General features: G+C 37.3%; 1 protein-coding gene across 15 annotated transcripts in view, besides 1 other annotated feature; it reads right to left on the bottom strand.

Annotated features, from left to right (window-relative positions):
* The window catches only part of ST6GALNAC3 (ST6 N-acetylgalactosaminide alpha-2,6-sialyltransferase 3), a 562594-nt gene that overhangs the window by 194749 nt on the left and 349371 nt on the right, over positions 1-18474 (bottom strand). The window lies entirely within an intron of this gene.
* Positions 16743-16982: an enhancer, noted in NCBI's record as "active region_1210". NCBI's record gives its function as "activates an Ori minimal core promoter by ATAC-STARR-seq in GM12878 lymphoblastoid cells {active_cell/tissue: GM12878}" and the evidence as "EXISTENCE:reporter gene assay evidence [ECO:0000049][PMID:35858748]".

The raw sequence follows: 18474 nt of genomic DNA, 5'->3' as shown, positions 1-18474 counted from the left end.
AGAAAAAGAAGTACCTAATACTTTTTTCCATCATGACTCACTAAATCATGAAATGAATTATATCACAGCACAAATACATTGCCACTAGGATGTGTACAAAGTAAAATTTAGTACAATCACCTCTGAACTGTCATGCTAATGAAAGCCAACAGTGATGCAGATATTCCAAAAGAGTGGAAAATCAGAAAATCATTTATGTTTGGTGATAGCAGATACAGCATTACTTGGGAGGCATCAGGTTTACCTTTGTGTTTTGCTTGTGGAAATGTGAAAATTAGTGTGTAGTCCTTACATACACATCAACTGATGGGGGAGACAATTTGGGTAGAGGACTGAATCAATCTGGAATGGAGTATTTCTGTAGATACACTTCAGGTGGCAAAATTTAGAGTTGACTAATCATTGAATTATAAAGGGAAATGGACATAAACTCATTTTATGGAAGGGGAAACTGCAACTGAGATAAATTTACCTGACTCAGGACACACAATTCAAGGTCTCAGCCTCTCATATGTTTCTGAGTTCTTTTCTCACTCAGTTGCACTACTTGCCCCATGCACCTGCACACTAGTATTTATTACAGTGGATGAACATAAATAAGCTCACAAAGCCTCTGATAAATTCCTGCATGAGAGACCTTCTACTCATTGTTTAGAGAAATTAAAAGACTTTGAAGATTGTGGCTGACATCAAAGAAGCTTATCCTTTTAATATGTGTCCTCAGGGAGCTGGGCCAGAGAAAGAACCAGATTTGCTGCTAATGTTTTTGGGTGCTCTCAGTGCAGGACAGGTAAGTGTGTGGACTCTAAAATCAGATCTGGTGGAAGGGTGGGGGGAGGTGGGAATGGTTAATGGGTACAAAAAATTAGAAATAATGAATAAGACCTACTATTTGATAGAATAAAGGGTGACTATAGTCAATAATTTAATTATACATATTAAAATAACTAAAAGAGTGTAATTGGATTGTTTGTAACACAAGGAATAAATGCTTGAGGGGATGGATACCCTATTCATCATGCTGTAATTACGTTACATTGCATGCCTGAATCAAAACATCTCATGTACCCCATAAATATGTACATCTACTATCTCTCCATAAAAATTAAAAATGAAAAAAAATCAGATCTGGGTTGGAGTTCTGCCTTGACCACATTTTTTTCCTATAGTTCCTTCCTCTGCTAGCTTAAGCAAGTCTCATAATCTTTCTGAGCTTCACTTGCCTTATTGTAAAATGAAGACAATAATTATACCTGCCTCATAGGATTATTGAGATGACAAAATGAGATAATGTAGGTAATAAACTACACGTTACATAAGTAATATAATATATGCTTGACATATAGTAAGGGCCCAGTAAATGATATTTATGATCATTACAATAATAATTATAACTACACACATTTTTCAATAGTTTATGTTGAGCAAGTCCATATTATATCACATTTCCTTAAAGTTCAGCATCTATGTTGCTTTCTCTTATTTTTTTTTTTTTTTTTTTTGGAGACATAGTCTCACTCTGTCGCCCAGGCTGGAGTGCAGTGGCATGATCTCAGCTCACCACAACCACCACCTCCCAAGTTCAAGTGATTCTCCTGCTTCAGCCTCCCAAGTGGTTGGGACTACAGGCACACCCCACCATGCCCAGCTAATTTTTGTATTTTTAGTAGAGACTGGGTTTTGCCATGTTGGCCAGGCTGGTCTCGAACTCCTGACCTCAGGTGATCCACACACCTTGGCCTCCCAAAATGCTGGGATTACAGGCATGAGTCACTGCGCCCAGCCTCTATGTTGTTGTTTCTACTTAGCAGATCCTGAAGAAAAATCCGTTTTTTATCTTGCCTTCTTTGCCCAATTATTGCCAGACAGGGACTCTCATGATAAAAACAAGTTTAAAATTTCCATTTGCTTTAAATAGTGAGTCATAAAATTAATCATTTATAGTTTATGAGGCTCTAATGTTCTTGGGTGGTTTGAAGGTAAAAGTCTAAAAACAGAGTTTGATGAAGAACAAAAAGATTCTACAAAATACAGTTCTATTTTCTAGAAAAGGGAAAGGATACACCTGCAGTGGATATTTTGCCCTTGGCATAATCTCTGCTTTCAAATCCTAGTTCATGTTGTCATCGACATGGACAGCATGTCCCCATTCTGGCCCCATCATCTCCAACTTGGGCTGTTATAATAAGCAGTTAGTCACTGAGCTCCATGGCTACATTCTTTCACAAAACTCCATTTTTTGCCACAAGGCTTACTTTTCGAAAATGTAAACATTAGGGTCACAAATTCTTGATCTGACACATATGCCCTTTCTGATCTGGCACCTAAGTCTATTTCCAGGACATCTCTCCACTCTTTTCCATTAAAGAAATTTTTAGCAACACTGAACTCCTTCAGCACACTTCATACTTCCATGCTTCGTCTCTTTACTCAGGTTATTGGCCTCTGCCTAGGAAGCTCTTTGCCATTTGCCTTGTAAAAAGTCCACAATATCTTTTGTAAAACGAAATATAATTATATTCTCTTGTGCACATGCTAGATGTCAGGGTCTGTTTGAACATAGAAAATAATTTAATCTTTACTACATGTAACATACGTAAACACGTTTATAACAACATATAAACTAATTTAATCTTTACTACAATCCTATGAGGTAGTATTATCATCTCTACTTATGAAAGAGAAAAGTGAGGCACATAGAGGTTAATGTGTACAAAGTGACACTGATGGTAAGTGGAAGCTGCTTCTGATCAGTCAGAACTAATTCTGCCATCTTTTCTACTGTAGACTCTTGTATTTGCTACTTGTTCAGTCTGGTGTGTGACAAGCTCCTTATCTCATTTGCCCTTCAGTCCTCACTGCCCAGCACTGTACCTTACATTTAGTCTGTGCTTAACTAGTGTTTACTAACTGCATGAACCCAGATAAAAAAAACTGTAGCTACATTTTCTACAGATTTTCCTAACAGGGTGTATGCTATTGTATCTTTAGTTGGTTGCCAAAATGGGTTGAGTGGCACCTGAATGGAAAGGAAAGTGGGTAGATGAGAGGACAGAAATGGTTTCTGAGCTGGTATACTTTTGTTAAAGCACATTCTTCAACCTGCAGCAATAACCAAAGGCCTTATACACTCCTAAATTGAAAACATAAAGCATAGCTTTTCAAAGCCCCGGACCTTTTTAAACAAACTTCCTTTTTTCATTTGTATACACCACGTTTTATTTTAAGCCATACGTATTAGGGAGAGTTAAGAGCCTCTTGGAACAGCTTAGTTCAGTTTTGACAGTAACTCTTTGGCAAAGACTCTCCACTGCACCATTACTCCAGGGTGTTCCTCCTGCAGCTGTCACAGGGAAACCAGTGATATGTGCCATTTCATGCCCTCCCTTGGAGATCACTTATCCTGGACAACAGTTTAGGTAGAGAGTCTCCACATTATCATGGAAAAATCTTCAGACATTTTCAAAGACAGCATCTCAACATCTACTTCAGGCTTCAAGAAAGGTATGCAGCAATGAACAATTGAGTCCTTATTTCAAAGAAGAAAAAGTGAACCATGAAAACTTTAACTCATCATAACATCACTTTTCTCACTTCCAAATTAATATTTATTGAGCATAGTGTTGCAGACACAAAAAGAATAAAACTGCCCCTTGCTCTTCAGAAAGCTCACATTCTAGCTGGTCAGGAGGTCAAATAACCATTTGACTAAAAAACCATTTGTTTTAATAACTATCCTGTCCAGTACTCCAGAAAGGTAACAGCCCTGAGGAAAGAAGGAAATATTCTGCCTAGACATGGGCATAGCAGGGAGGGTTTGTGGAGGAGGTGCCATTTCTGAGCATCAAGGAAACACCAGATTTGGCTCAGAGGAGAGGTACTGAGGAGGTGAGATGGGAACTGGAATTATAGGTAGAAGAAAACGTATTCAGGAGCATAAAGGCAAGAAGAGAAGCTTAAAGTGTTCTTATATTAGAGCACAAGGTGCCAAAAGATATAAAAAGAGAAGAATGGAAGAGAAAGAATAAAAAGATTTTATCCTACCTTATATAAGAAAGGCAGAACCTACAGATGTGAATCTCATACAAGGATGTTGAAGAGGTTTCTAGGAATTAAATATAATTAAGTAATCTATTAAAAAGTCAGAATATGGGCCAGGCGGGGTGGCTCACGCCTGTAATCCCAGCACTTTGGGAGGCCGAGGCGGGTGGATCACAAGGTCAGGAGATCGAGACCACGGTGAAACCCCGTCTCTACTAAAAATACAAAAAATTAGCCGGGCACGGTGGCGGGCGCCTGTAGTCCCAGCTACTCAGGAGGCTGAGGCAGGAGAATGGCGCGAACCCGGGAGGTGGAGCTTGCAGTGAGCCGAGATCGCGCCACTGCACTCCAGCCTGGGTGACACAGCGAGACTCTGTCTCACTGAAAAAAAAAAAAAGTCAGAATATGTTGTTTTATAGCATCTCATTTCATTTAAAAAATGTAGAAGATCGATCATCTTAGAGAAAATAAGTTTAAATGAACCCTTCTCTATACCTGGAGTGTTCAGTTCTTTTTATTTTGACGTTAATTTTCAAAATACTTATTGAGAACCTGTGATTTACCAAGTAAATTCTTAGAATCGACCTTAAGAAATTGAGAAAATGCAAAATTGAAAAAAGTTCCAAATGAAACAAAATGATTAATATTATTATTAATGTAGAATTATAGCTATTTTGGCCAGGCACGGTGGTTCACGCCTATAATCTCAGAACTTTGGGAGGCTGAGGCGGGTGGATCATGAGGTCAAGAGATCGAGACCGTCCTGGCCAACATGGTGAAACCCACTCTACTAAAAATAAAAAAATTAGCTGGGCGTAGTGGTGCGTGCCTGTAGTCCCAGCTACTCAGGAGGCTGAGGCAGGAGAATAGCTTGAACTCGGGAGGCAGAGGTTGCAGTGAGCCGAGATCATGTCACTGCACTCCAGCCTGATGACAGAGCGAGACTCCGTCTCAAAAAAAAAAAAAAGAGAAAAAAAAAAGAAAGAAAAGAATTATAGCTATTTTTCTGTACTAAGTAATTTGACAAGTTAAAAAAAAAAGACTTCATTGGGCACCAACGAATGTTACATTTATTAGAAAGCAAATTTACCTTGGAAATCGGAAAAGCACATTTGATTATAAGAACAATCAGACACTGAAAATCTTACTGAACAGGGCTGCTGAGAGGCAATGACATGAAACCTAACAGAGCTGCTCACATTGAGAACCCTGTGTTTCCATAGGAGGGCTATGAATAAATATCTCGAGAGACCTGAGAAAGCTGAGATGAAGAAATCATCTTCCAAGGACACGATCTCTTCTGTTAGATGGGGCTTTGCTTTCTCGTTCAGACTTAATTTTATAAAATACATTTCCTTTAAGGATGTGAAGACTTAAGGAAAAAACATAAAGAAACCAAGAAGAAGCCCTTATTTTGTAATATTGTACATTCAGTTGATCACAGGTACACAGAGGGGAGTCACGCTTACTATTGTCAACACAGGAGTTTTAAAAACCCTTAAACAAGTAGGTCAGCTGAGTGTACAGCAAAGCTCACCCAGGCTGAATGTCTGGTCAGAGTAACAGTCCACTTTCCAGAATGCCACCTGGATTGGAGATTGAAAACAAAATTCCTAGGATATGCCAAGGTTCATTTCCTAAAAATGATGATGACATTATAGTTATGTCAGTTTTCAAAATGGGAACAACTTAAAAAAATTCCCCAAATGTGTTGAATATTATCCTAAATGAAGCTAAGTTTGGACTCTACTTAATGTGACTTTATTCAGTTATTTACCCAGCATTCAAGACAGCATCACTATGTCTCAATTCCTTGTAAGGGGAGGGAGGATATTTTTCCTCATGAAGGAAAAATTATTGTAAGAATTAAATGATATAATGTAAGAAAAATAATTGGCACGGTACCTGGTACAAAACTAAGGATTCATTAAATGCTTTAAAAAGCCCCAACATTTATGTTTTTGGTTAAAATCTGTATTTTTGGTTAAGATCTTATTTCCAATGTTTAATGTATTAAATAATGGCTGATGCACCACAAACAGGTAAAAAATAAAAATGTTGGCCTTGATTTCTTAAGTGTTACACAGCACTCATTAAATTAAAAAATCCTGACTCAGTATACCTCAATAACCACCTGGTAATTCATTCTAAAAGAAAGCAGCATCCATTGAGGCTCAAATTCACAACCTAACACCTTAATGACCAGCAGTTTCCTAAATGTGATATTCTGATGAACTTTTGGGTCCTTTAGGAATTACTGCCATCCTCAATCAGCTGTCCTTTAATCTATCTTCGAACTCAGTCTCATTTAATTATTAGCAATTTGAGCTTAAGTGAGTTTAGGAAATTGCAAACTGACACACACAGACAAAATTTACACTTTTTGCATTCGAATGCTTTAATACAAAAGAGATTGGATTACAAATTTTATTCAAAGGTGTTTTAAAAATGAAAAAAAGTGATTTTGGCTTTTACTCCATATTAAAGAGTTTTAGAAAAGGGTGAAGCAACTCTGGGGGAAAGGGTGGGAAGGGAGTGAGGGATAAAAGACTACAAATTGGGTGCAGTGTGTACTGTTTGGGTGATGGGTGCACCAAAAGCTCACAGATCACCACCAAAGAACTTGCTCATGTCACCAAATACCACCTGTTCCCCAATAACCTATGGAAATAAAACATTAAAAAAAAAAATAAAAAAAGAAAAGATTGAAGCATAAGGGGATAGGTCTGTTGTTGGTTGCTATTCTCTATGAGCCACAGATATTTATCAGCTGAAACTAATTACCAATGCAACCATGAACACATCAAATTTATTATTATTTTGAAGTTATGCTGAAATATTGTCTAAATCCTATGAAAACTACTTTTTCAGAAAGAAAAAAGAAACATTAATTTTAGGGGAATTACAGTTAAGTCATTTTAGCTCTGCCCAAATAACATTATTCAGAGAGAGTACTACCAGGGTCTCAGCATAATGCATGTCACATTTTTAGATGTATTCAATTGTTTACTCAGCATTCAGGACAATGATTATCTATGATCTATCCAAATACAGGAATATCAAGTCTTTAAAACTTTCTTTAACCTTTGCTCTAGCAAATGAAAAAGAATATTCCTTATTTCTCAAAAAGGAGACACTGGATTATTCTCACCATTTGCAGCTTCTACATATTTACTTCATAAATTTTTCTTTCATAACATGCATATATTTAATCATTTGTTTTCCCCACATATAAGCTAATAAGAATTATAATACCTTTAACTTTATATGTATTCTCAAATTGATTTTAGATTCCATAGTCACCTCTTTGTTGTATATTTTAAAATATTCCTAACCAATATACTTTTTGAATATTGAATACATAGACGTTTAAGTCAATTTTATAGATAAAGAAACTCAGATGTTGAGTAACTAAGTGACTGAGAGTACTAAATATGAATTATCAAAATATAAAATGGTGGCCAGGCACGGTGGCTCAGGCATATAATCCCAGCACTTTGGGAGGCCAAGGTGGGTGGATCACCTGAGGTCAAGAGTTTGAGATCAGCCTGGCCAACATGGTGAAACCCCGTCTCTGCTAAAAATACAAAAATTAACTGGGCCTCGTGATGCATGCCTGTAGTCCCAGCTACTCAAGAGGCTGAGGCAGGAGAATTGCTTGAATCTGGGAGGCAGAGGTTGCAGTGAGCCAAGATCTTGCCACTGCATTCCAGCCTGGGTGACAGAGTGAAACCCTGTCTCAAAAAAAAAAAAAAAAAAAAAAAACAGAGAAAAAAAAAGGCAGTAAAAAGTCATCTTCTAGTGACAGCTCATAAAAAGCAGATGCATACAAATATCAGCTAATTGTATTTAATTTAACATGAAGATACTTTTGTTCATATGACAATAAAAAATAGTTTAATTTAACTTTTTAACTTTAACCTCTCCCTTTACTCTATCCTGTAAATAGCTACCTCTTCTAAAATACTTTTTTATAATCCTACTTTGTATTTATTTGTTAATATGTCTACATTCCTCAGTAGAAGAAGCTCTTTAAGGAAATTTCAATGTTACTTCTTGTTGCAGGATTTTTAGTACACAGCTGTTCAATAAATGCTTTTAGCACAAATAAATAAAATGCTGATTTGTCATACTATGTGAGCTTGATTCTTTAGGACAGGGGCTTATATTTAGTTAGCCTGACAGACCAAAGTGCTTAAAACATGACAGTTTATAGTCATGAAATACCATGCCTATGTTCACAATGGACTGTGAATTTAAACACTCCATTGTACAAGCATGTAAAAACAACTTTACAAGCATGTAAAAACAGGCCTCCTCTCTGGCCAAAGTTTATTACCTCTGTCTTTGATTCCTGCCACCTTAGAAAGGAGCTAACCCATGTTTACGATTACACCACTTGGAAGAAAATCTGGGGGGCTGCATTTTATTCAGTGCCCTGCCACCTTGGTTTCTGGGTGACCTGCCATGGTTTGCTTTTCGAAGCCTTCTGTGAGGAGTGAGCAAATAACAGCATTTGTCATGCAACTTAAATGAGCATGCAGTAATCAGTAAGAGCAATCAATAAGAATGCTAAAATAAATAAATGAATGAATAAATAGATAAAAAGTAAACGCTGCAATCACAGTGTGATGCTACCATAATGAATAAGCATTATCACATGTCACCCCTGTCTGCTATCATCAGCAGCTTTCAAAACTAATTGTCATATTGAACAAAGGGTACTAGATTTCATAAGGCAGTCAGTGCTATTTCTCTGCATTTTTTTCCATTTAGTAACAATTGACAGTAAGAGCCTAGCCTTGGGGAATCAACAGAAGTGACCCATGACTTGCAGTTTGGTAGGTTCCAGCTAACCATTGGATCACTTACACAATCCCCACAGACTGCTGTCCATCTCCAGCTCAGCCAGCCATTGTGGTTATGCTTGGTGGTGAAGACAGATAAGAAAAAGGTTTCATGGAGAGCTAGAGGCAAGACCCAAAGCCAGGCTCTCATTAAGATTTTTTTCCTTGTCAAAATAGAAATCGTTTCATTGCTTTTTCTTTCTTATTATGTGTACATATGCACCATGAAACAATTTCAGAAAACAGAATGCTATAAGAAAGATGGCAGAAATTATGCATAGCCCCACCACCCACTGTGTTAACTATCCTTTTGGACTTTAGAGCATATTGCACACTCACGTTACAGAGCAGAACAGAAAGAAAAGTGGAATGCAAGTAAAAAAATCTCTTTTTTTCTTAAGGTTAAAAAAAATCAACCAAACAAAAATCTTACGGAAAAATGAAATCAAAACAGGAACAAAATCTAACCAGAATGACAAGTATCACCAGTAATCTAGGAAATACACAGAACAGAGAAAGCTTTCAAAGGGAGAGAGAAAAGACAGTGATCAAATCAGGCTGTCTCAAAAAACGATGGCACTAAAAAGTGTGTCAGAGGCAAGAGCTCTGAGAAAGAACAAAGAGATACAGAGAAAACAGAGTGAGCAGGTAGCAGAAAGAAAGAGGAGAGAAAAGACAGAGCACAAGAGGGGAAGCAGGCGGGGTGGCAAAAGGTTTTTGTCACAAGGAGAAATCAACATAATGAGAATGGAGATGCCCCCACATTTCATCCTCAAAACCGCCTGTAGAAGCCTGGGGACTGCCAAATTCCTTTTGAAACAATTTTCATTGAACACCGAAAACATCTTTTGATGGTACAAATGAAGGAAAAAGACTTCAAGTTGTATCTAATATCTATAACTCCCAAAAGGTAAGTCACTCAACATTATAAGAGAATACAAAAGTAGGCTGGGCATGGTGGCTTACGCCTGTAATCCCAGCACTCTGGGATGTCAAGGTGGGAGGGTCACTTAAGCCCAGAAGTTCAAAACCAGCCTAGGCAACATGGAGTGACTCTGTCTTTACAAAAAAAATTTAAAAATTAGCCAGGCATGGTGGCACACGCCTGTATTTCCAGCTATTTGGATGGCTACGGAGGGAGGATCACTTGAGCCCAGGAGGTCAAGGCTTCAGCGAGCCATGTTTGTGCCACTGCATTCCAGCCTGGGCAACAGAGTGAGATTCTGTCTCAAAAAAAAAAAAAAAAAAAAAAAAAAAAAGGCAATAAAGGCAACTTAGCTACATATTTCAGCCAGCATTTTTCAGCGTATAACATAAAACATTTTTTTTGCCCAAACAAGTTGAAAATTTACATGCACACAAAAACCTGCACACAGATATTTATAGCAACTCTATCCATAATTGACAAAACTTGGAAACAACCAAGATGTCCTTCAGTAGATAAATGGATAAATAAACTGTGGTACAATTCGGACAATGGAATATTATTCAGCACTAAAAACAAATGAGCTATCAAGCCATGAAATGTCATGGAAGAACTTTAAATGGGTGTAATAAGTAAGAAATTTAAAGGAGTGTAATATTACTAAGTAACAGAATCTAGTCTGAAAAGGATTCATACTGTATGATTCCAAGTATATGACATTCTAGAAAAGGCAAAACAATTAGAAAGTAAAAAGATTATTGGTTGTTAGGGGTTAGGGGAGAGAGAGGGATGAATAGACAGAGCAGAGAAGACTTTTAGGACAGTGAAACTATTCTGTATTATAATGGTGGATACATGTCCTTATACATTTGTATAAACCCATAGAATGTATGTACAATGCCAAGAGTGATGCCTAATGTAAGCTGTGGACTCTGGGGGATAATGATGTGTCACTGCAGGTTCATCAGTTGTAACAAATGTACCACTCTGGGCGGGGGGGATGTTAATAATGCGAGAGACAGTTTATATTGGGGCAGGGTTGTATTAAGTCTTCAAAAATTCGGACTTCCCAAAGAAAAAACAAATAAGGCAATTTAAAAGAGAATCAGCTTCTTGTTCTATTCCCATGTTCCATTTCATTTGTAGCTCTTTCTACATAGAGGAGAACCAGCATGAAAGAGATTTCTGGTAAAAACTGATTTTATGGAATATTTTGTGTATATGTGTGCATGTGTATGAGAGAGACAGAAAGGGAGAGGAACTGAGAGACAGAAAGAAAGACAGAATGATAATTTGTGATAGATTTACATCTATGAAATGAAGAGCTACAAAATTCAGGTGGATTTGTCTTGAATTTTATTTTTTTAATCAAAATTCAACTTTCAGCTACCTTTGATTTAAAAATAAAGTAAAAATTATCAAATTTTAATTCTGGAGCTCTTCACCCACTTTAGGGCAGAGGAGATAAAGCATTTGAGACTGTTGGAAGTGAGCTGGCTTCCCAAGCTTAACTAGTTAGTGGCAAAGTTGAGGCAAGCATACCCAGTGTTCACCTGCTTTTGTTTCTGGGGTTATCTAAGCAGCAGCAGCTACAGGTGATCCAGAACTTGCTCTTAGCAGCCCTAAGGAAAGTTAAGGGCCCTTCTAAAATGGGCATTTGAAACAGCTGTTCTCAGCAAGAGGAGGGGGCTGCCAGGGCTGTGATGCTGATCTCTGCATCACAGGAATCTGTCTGTCCTCTCCCTTAAACTCTCAGCTAAAATAATACTTTCCCAAAAAGGTCTTTGAGTTCAGGGTAGAGGGCATCATGCTTCATTCTACCAAGAGGCTTTACACGATTTCTATAAGCAGAAGGCTCAGAAATCATTACTTTGTAAGTATGAAATCAGCTCCAGGCAGAACCAAGTGGCAAGAAGGCTTTTTAGTACTATCTTCAAGTGCTTACGAAATTGACACTCTCATAAAAAAATATTTGTTAAGGACCTAATATACACTGAGAACTCTGCACAGAGAGATGAAAAAACAGCCTTGAGGGGCTTCCAATATTGCCAATCCCATTGGCCAGCTGGAACTGTACATAAAAGATAAGAAGCAGCCAAACTAGCCTGTACAAGTGCAAGATACAGGGCGAGAAAAATAAATGCTTGAGGAATTCGTAGGAGGGAGGGATAAATGGGGCTGTTAGAGAGAGCTGCATGGAAAAAGTCAACTCTTGAGCTATGCCTTAAATGATTTATTTGACAAGAGTAGAAAAGGAACAGCATTTCAGCTGAGAAACAGGGTCAGCAAAGATGCAAAGCTTAGAATGTGTATCTGGAGATAACGAGCAGACCCATGTGGTTGGGCCAGAGAACAACTGTAGGGACTAGTTGGCAACAAACTTAGAAAAATTGCTGGACAAAATTCTTTGAGGGACAAGAATGCCAGATAAAAGAAACTAAAGGCAATGAAGAACCATCAGAGTTTTGTGGGTAGGTGAATGAAATGTAAAAGTGATTTAGGAAGATTAATCTGGTGGAAGTATAAAATGCAGATTGAAGGGCAAAAGATGGAAAGCAGTGAGAATAGATGGAGACTATTTTCATAGTCTAGACCTGAGACAATGAGAGCCTCGAGATAGAAACAAAGCATATAATCAAAGAATATTTTGAAGTAAGTGACTGTGGACTTGGTAACTCAATTACATTTTCGTTAGGAAAGATAAGTCAAATTTAAACAGATTGAATTTCACACAGAAAATGCCTAAAGGCCAACCTAGTTTTAGAGACCAATGTTTAGAAGTGATAGCAGAGATGGAGACAAGACGTAGCAGTGATGGTTGACTTATGGAAGTGAATGAGTCCTCTTGGGGAGAGAATGTTTCATTTGTACTGAACATATATCAATAAAAGGAATGGTAGAAAAGTAAAGACCAGTATCATGGCTTTTTGGAAGCATGGTAGCAAGTGACTGAGTTTGCCAATTTCTACCTGTATTTACTTGAACAGTCTCTGTTTTCTGAGGCTTCCTGATGATCCAAGACTGATGAGAGCGGCCAAGAGTCATTCATAGTTGAGCTCACAGTCTATCATTCTGTAAGTGAAACCTGAGCAGTTGGAAACCCTGGTGACAAGGCCAATGTCTTCCAGTGCTCAAGAGTCTTAAAACTCCACTCTGAAGAATATGTTGAGCACATATTGAAGGTCCCTATACTGTTTTCAATATGATGTATGTAATGATTTTTCTAAATGATGGAAAAATAAAAGTCTGGATGATTATCTAAATGTGCAATGCAATAAAATGTCAGTGGAGGAAAAGTGATACTAGCTGGAATTCTTCTTGATATTATGATATAGATATAAAATAATTCCTACTAATAATAGTAAATACTAGCACCATGTGCTATGCCCAGGCTAAGAAATTTATAAATTTCTAGTTTAATTCTAACAAAAGTATAGACACTACTTTATACATGAGAAAACTGAAGCACAGAGAGTTTACACTTGACCTAGATCATACAGATAGGACATGGTGGACTGTTATATGCTATAATCTATGACAAGAAACCAACATCTACTTGATTCATTATCATCAATCAATCAAACCTCTAACTTGAGAATTCAGTATAACAATTCTATTGTTAAAAACAAAACACAGATGAGTCAAGTACATACATACACATACACACACACAAATATATAAGCACAGATTAGTAGAAGAGGAAGGACTAATTGTTATTTTTAACTAAAACATGACACAATCTGAGAAACTTTTTTATAAAGCTACCCTTAGTAAAGACTCATACTTCCAGTTCATTTAACAAAAAGGCATTATAAAGTTAAGGTTCTTCATAGGACTGATGGTTACATTTCAAAACTCATATTATATGAGATGGACCTCGGTATCACTAATGTCTCCGCATATACAATTTCTGGCAAAACATAGCCTGTTTACGAGAAGTGCAGAAATGTTGTTAAACTTAATTAGATCTAATTGTCACACTTTCATTAGCTATTAGCATTATGTAAAGATAAACTAATGCATAATGAGTTCTTTCATTGTCACATAATTATAATTTTAATGATTACATTATGACCATTATAATACAGTGCATATTTTCAATTTTCCCATTAGTGGGCAATTATTTATAAGGTTTTCTATTACAATCTGTCCACAGAGACCAAGTTATTAATGCCTCCATTTTCCTATAATGATGACCACAGTGTTAAAATCAATATGATGGCCACAGGGAGAACTGCAAAATAACGTGGAAAGAACAACAAAACTACAACCATGAAGTAGGCTCATTCAGCACACGCCTGAGGAAATTTTAAGATGGATAAAAATAACATATTAATATTCTTACAAGAAGTTCTAGTTTACAAGGTTTTCTCAAGTATAATTTTTCTCATTTTTTGTGACCTTAAGTCCCCAACTCTTTCCTAAGACAGTTTCCATGGTATGAAATATTTAAAAACCTGGCCTTTGAAAAATGTCTTAAAGAGTTTTCACCATTCAGAGAATTAGATTAAAATCCCACAAAGTCATTTCTGGGAAATTTTTTGAATTGTTCAATTTCAGGGTTGTATGTCAGGAAGTAAGATGCTGATGAACCGTATGATTCATCCTCAAAGATGATGAAGAGTGGGAGAAATTTATTATAACAAAGGAAAAGGGCAGTGTGATTGGATAGCGATTATGGCAACAAGGGGCTGGATGTAGGTCCTGAAAATAATAACAATAATAATACTAATAACATCTAATAGAATATTTGCTTTTGTCCACTAACTCTGAGAATAAACAGATCTCCTCACTATTCTTTGTGTGAAGACTGAGACTATTTGGTGGACTTAGAGAGATGTCCAGAACTATAGAAAGACATTTAGGAATGCAGCTTACTATACACACCTGGTTGGTTACTTACTATGCAACTAAGGTTGGTTGCATTACATGGTTCTGAGGTCTCACATGGAGACAAGACAGGCCCTTCGGGGCTTTTCTGTAGCCCTGTGAAACTATATCTGTCTCCCCCAACTGCAATGGGGTTGTCTCAGTTATCTCTGAATTCCTGGCAATGTGCACTTAAAAATTTTGTGGCAGAAATTAATGAACTAGATAGATTTAAGCCCAAAAGTTCAAAGTAGCTCATATTATCCAACTTGATGGTAAAACTAACCTAATTTTAATATGGACCAGTGTCCCTCCCCAAGAAAAACTGTTGGTCCAGGTTCTCGATAGATATGTACTCATATAGTTTGGAGATACGATTAATTTTTTTATTTTTCCATGGAGGAGAATCAAGAATCCTTGCACATATTGGGTCACTGGTTCTCCAGGCATAGGAATGTGTAAGACACACTTGGGGAACTGTTTAAATGCAGAGCCATTCCCAGAGGTTCTGAATCCACAGGGCTGAGAGGCTATGTTTCTAGCAGAACCCTCCAGAAGATTCTGAAGCAGATGGTCCCCAGAGCACATTTGAGAAATACTCAACCTGGTGCTCAATTCAATGGTGGCAGTCCTTGTGAGCCAGTAAACATGACACTAGCCTAGGATTCATAAGACCCCATGAATGAAGTTTCACTACAAGAGGTGGGACTTGAGAAAGTCACTAGATTTGCCCTGGTCTTAGGTTTCCTTACCCATTAAATAAGTGTGTTGTGCTCACTTCTGAGTTTCTTTGCTGAGATCTCTGTACCACTAAGGAGACCATGAAGTTGGCAACAGAGATTCTTGAGCTATGCATGAAATTCCAAAAAGCCAAACAGTAATCATTTATTTACCCAATACAAAATCTTATTTGAAACATCTACTTTTTTGGATTAAATTATATCACCTCAATGTTCCCCTGGTTATCAGAATCTCTCATGAAAGTTAAACAATCATGTGCCACACAGTGACATTTCAGTCAGAGATGAGCCGCATATATGACCATGGTCTCATAGGATTATAAACGGAGCTGAAAAATTCCTATAGCCAACTGATGTCGTAACTGTCATAGCATCATAGTACAACGCATTACTCATGTGTTTGTGGTGATGCTGGTTTAGGTAAACTACTGCATGTCCAGCCATATAAAAGTATAACACATACAATTATGTACAGTATATAATACTTGATAATGATAATAAACAACTATGTTACTAGGCTTATGTATTTACTTTATTTTTCATCATTATTTTAGAGGGCATTCTCTCTCTCTCTTTCTCTCTCTCCCTATATATATATATATGTACAGATATATATATATATATCTGTAAAACAGCTGCAGGCAGGTCTTTCAGGCAGTATTCCACAAGAAGGCATTGCTATCATAGGAGATGACAGCTCCATGCATGTTGTTGTCTCTGAAGATCTTCCAGTGAGACAAGATGTGAAGGTGGAAGACAGCGATATTGGTGATGCTGACCCTGTGTAGGCCTAGGATAATGAACTAACAATCCCAAACAACCTCATGTTACCCACTCAACAACTGGGTAGTGTCACCTATGTGTGTCAGATGCTATTTGAGGGGGCAGAGAGGTAAACAACAAGTTATGCCCTCATGGTGCTTACAGTCTAATAAGGGAAGACAGAAAATAGCAAACACATATCAGGCCATAACAAGTAACATAAAGGAAAATAGAGTTTGAAAAGCAGAAAAGGGAGAGTTGGGGGTGGGAGAGTGTTGTCAAAAAAGGGCTCTCTTATAAGGCGACATTTGAATCAAGACCTAAAGAAAATGGGGCAAAAGTCATGTAGATTTCTGGAGGGACTCCAGAAATCCTGAGTTATAGAATATATGCTTTTCAAAACAGGAAGATGATTCATCGTCTATATTATCATAAACTTTACTTAAGCTAACATATTTATGAGCTCATCTTCTGGGCTGACTCCAGGATTATAGACAAAGCACATGGTCTTGATTTCTTAACAGGGCTGTGGGCAACACAGTGAAATCTCTAGTCCATTGATTATCTGACACTGAGGTAAAGCCTGGATTTTGGCACAATACTTATTTTTGCTGCCTCAAGAACATATCTTAGTTCACTTTCTATCCTTGTGGTCAAGACATTTTTAGTTCACTTTGAGATTTGGTCTCTCTCGGCAAGGTTTCTCAGCTACTTTCATTTCTTCTCTACTGACATCCTGATGAACATGGTTTATAAATATTAAAAATAAGGAGGTGAGACCAGATGCAAAGAACTTGCCAATGAATGTCAGAAGTTCCGACGAGTTCCCAGTAAAATTAGAGAATGTGTTTCAAGTATCAGTGGATTCCCCACATCTAGAACAATGACTGACACCTACTTAGCACCCAGGGGATATGTGCTCAAGGAATGTTTGTAAAAGACTGCATTTCTGTGCTGCCTATCTCAAACCAAAATAAAAGCTCTGCCTTAAAAAAAGAGCTTGGTGTGAGTGTACGCGGGTGAGGGCGTATGGTTGTATGTTAGTAAACAGGATGTTTTCTCTTTTATGAGAAACACAGCAGCTGCTAGTTACGCTCCTAATAGGGGAAGTTGCTACTTTTGCATCCTTGAAAGCCCCTATTTGCATAGGCGCTATACAGAAGGCAGACATTAGAAATGAAAACAGTATCTGATCACCAAATCTCACTGGCACTGAAAAGTTCTGCCTCTAGTTTGTGATTTTTGAAATGTGGATGTGCTGACAACAAAATTAACTTCTCCAAAGAGCTGAGAACTCTCATCATCCCTCTCACTATAATTTACATGACTTGACAAAATTAAACTGTTATTTTCATCGGGGTGATCTGCAAAATCATAAAACGATGTGTATTTTTGGGAATGCCTAATTAACTCTCCTTAGTTCCACTGAGATTTCAGCTACGAATATAAGCATTGCAAATATCACGGAGGTGTTCACATCTAGCTTTAGCAACCACAAAGAGACTCAAAGGACTCAAAACAAAAATCTCTTTAGAAATCAGACAAGGATGAGAATTCAAATCAAATGGTGAACCTATGGGGTAAAATCAGGTATACACTGATTTGCCCAAACTTGCCTTGCATCAAATAGCCAGAAATACTTGAATAGGTGAAGCCAATATTAAGAATCAAAACAGCAGAATTACAGACCTACATACACAAGTCCATCTTTAGTAACAGTTTTAATCACAAACATTAACTAATATCGACCAAGCTGTTTGTCACAAAAGTTTGCTTTAACATATAATCAGCATCTGAAGTGAGAGCCACATTTCCTCAACAATTGCCAGCACCTTGTGTCATACTTATAAATAATGGGTTACTCCTATTGAGCACCATCTGCTTAATAGAGAAAAATGTTCATCTTAATTAGGAAACTCTTCTTATTATTTAATATTTATTGAACACCCACAATGTGCTTGGCAGCAAAAGCACCAGGAACATGATCTTTGCCCACCAAGAATCCACCTGCTAAGGAAATATGATGAACCAGTTATATAGTCATTTCTGTTTCTTAACACATTTTATGTATCTCTTTCCAGATGACAGAACTGCCAATGGTTCACTTTTGGAAGGGTCTTCTCTCCCAATTAAGATGGGATGGCGAGCTGTCAGATGAGTAATGAGTGAAGTAAAGATAAAGAGAAGATAAAGAGCAAATTAATTACAATCACTATGAAGCAAAAGTGAAATTTGCTCAATGGAATAAAATTTAATGCACTCCTAAATAAAACCAACTGTGTTTGCTATG

This window comes from Homo sapiens, chromosome 1, assembly GCF_000001405.40.
Source record: "Homo sapiens chromosome 1, GRCh38.p14 Primary Assembly".
NCBI classification, from domain to species: domain Eukaryota; kingdom Metazoa; phylum Chordata; class Mammalia; order Primates; family Hominidae; genus Homo; species Homo sapiens.
Note: the sequence above shows the minus strand (reverse complement) of the source record. Positions and strands in the feature narration are given on the sequence as shown.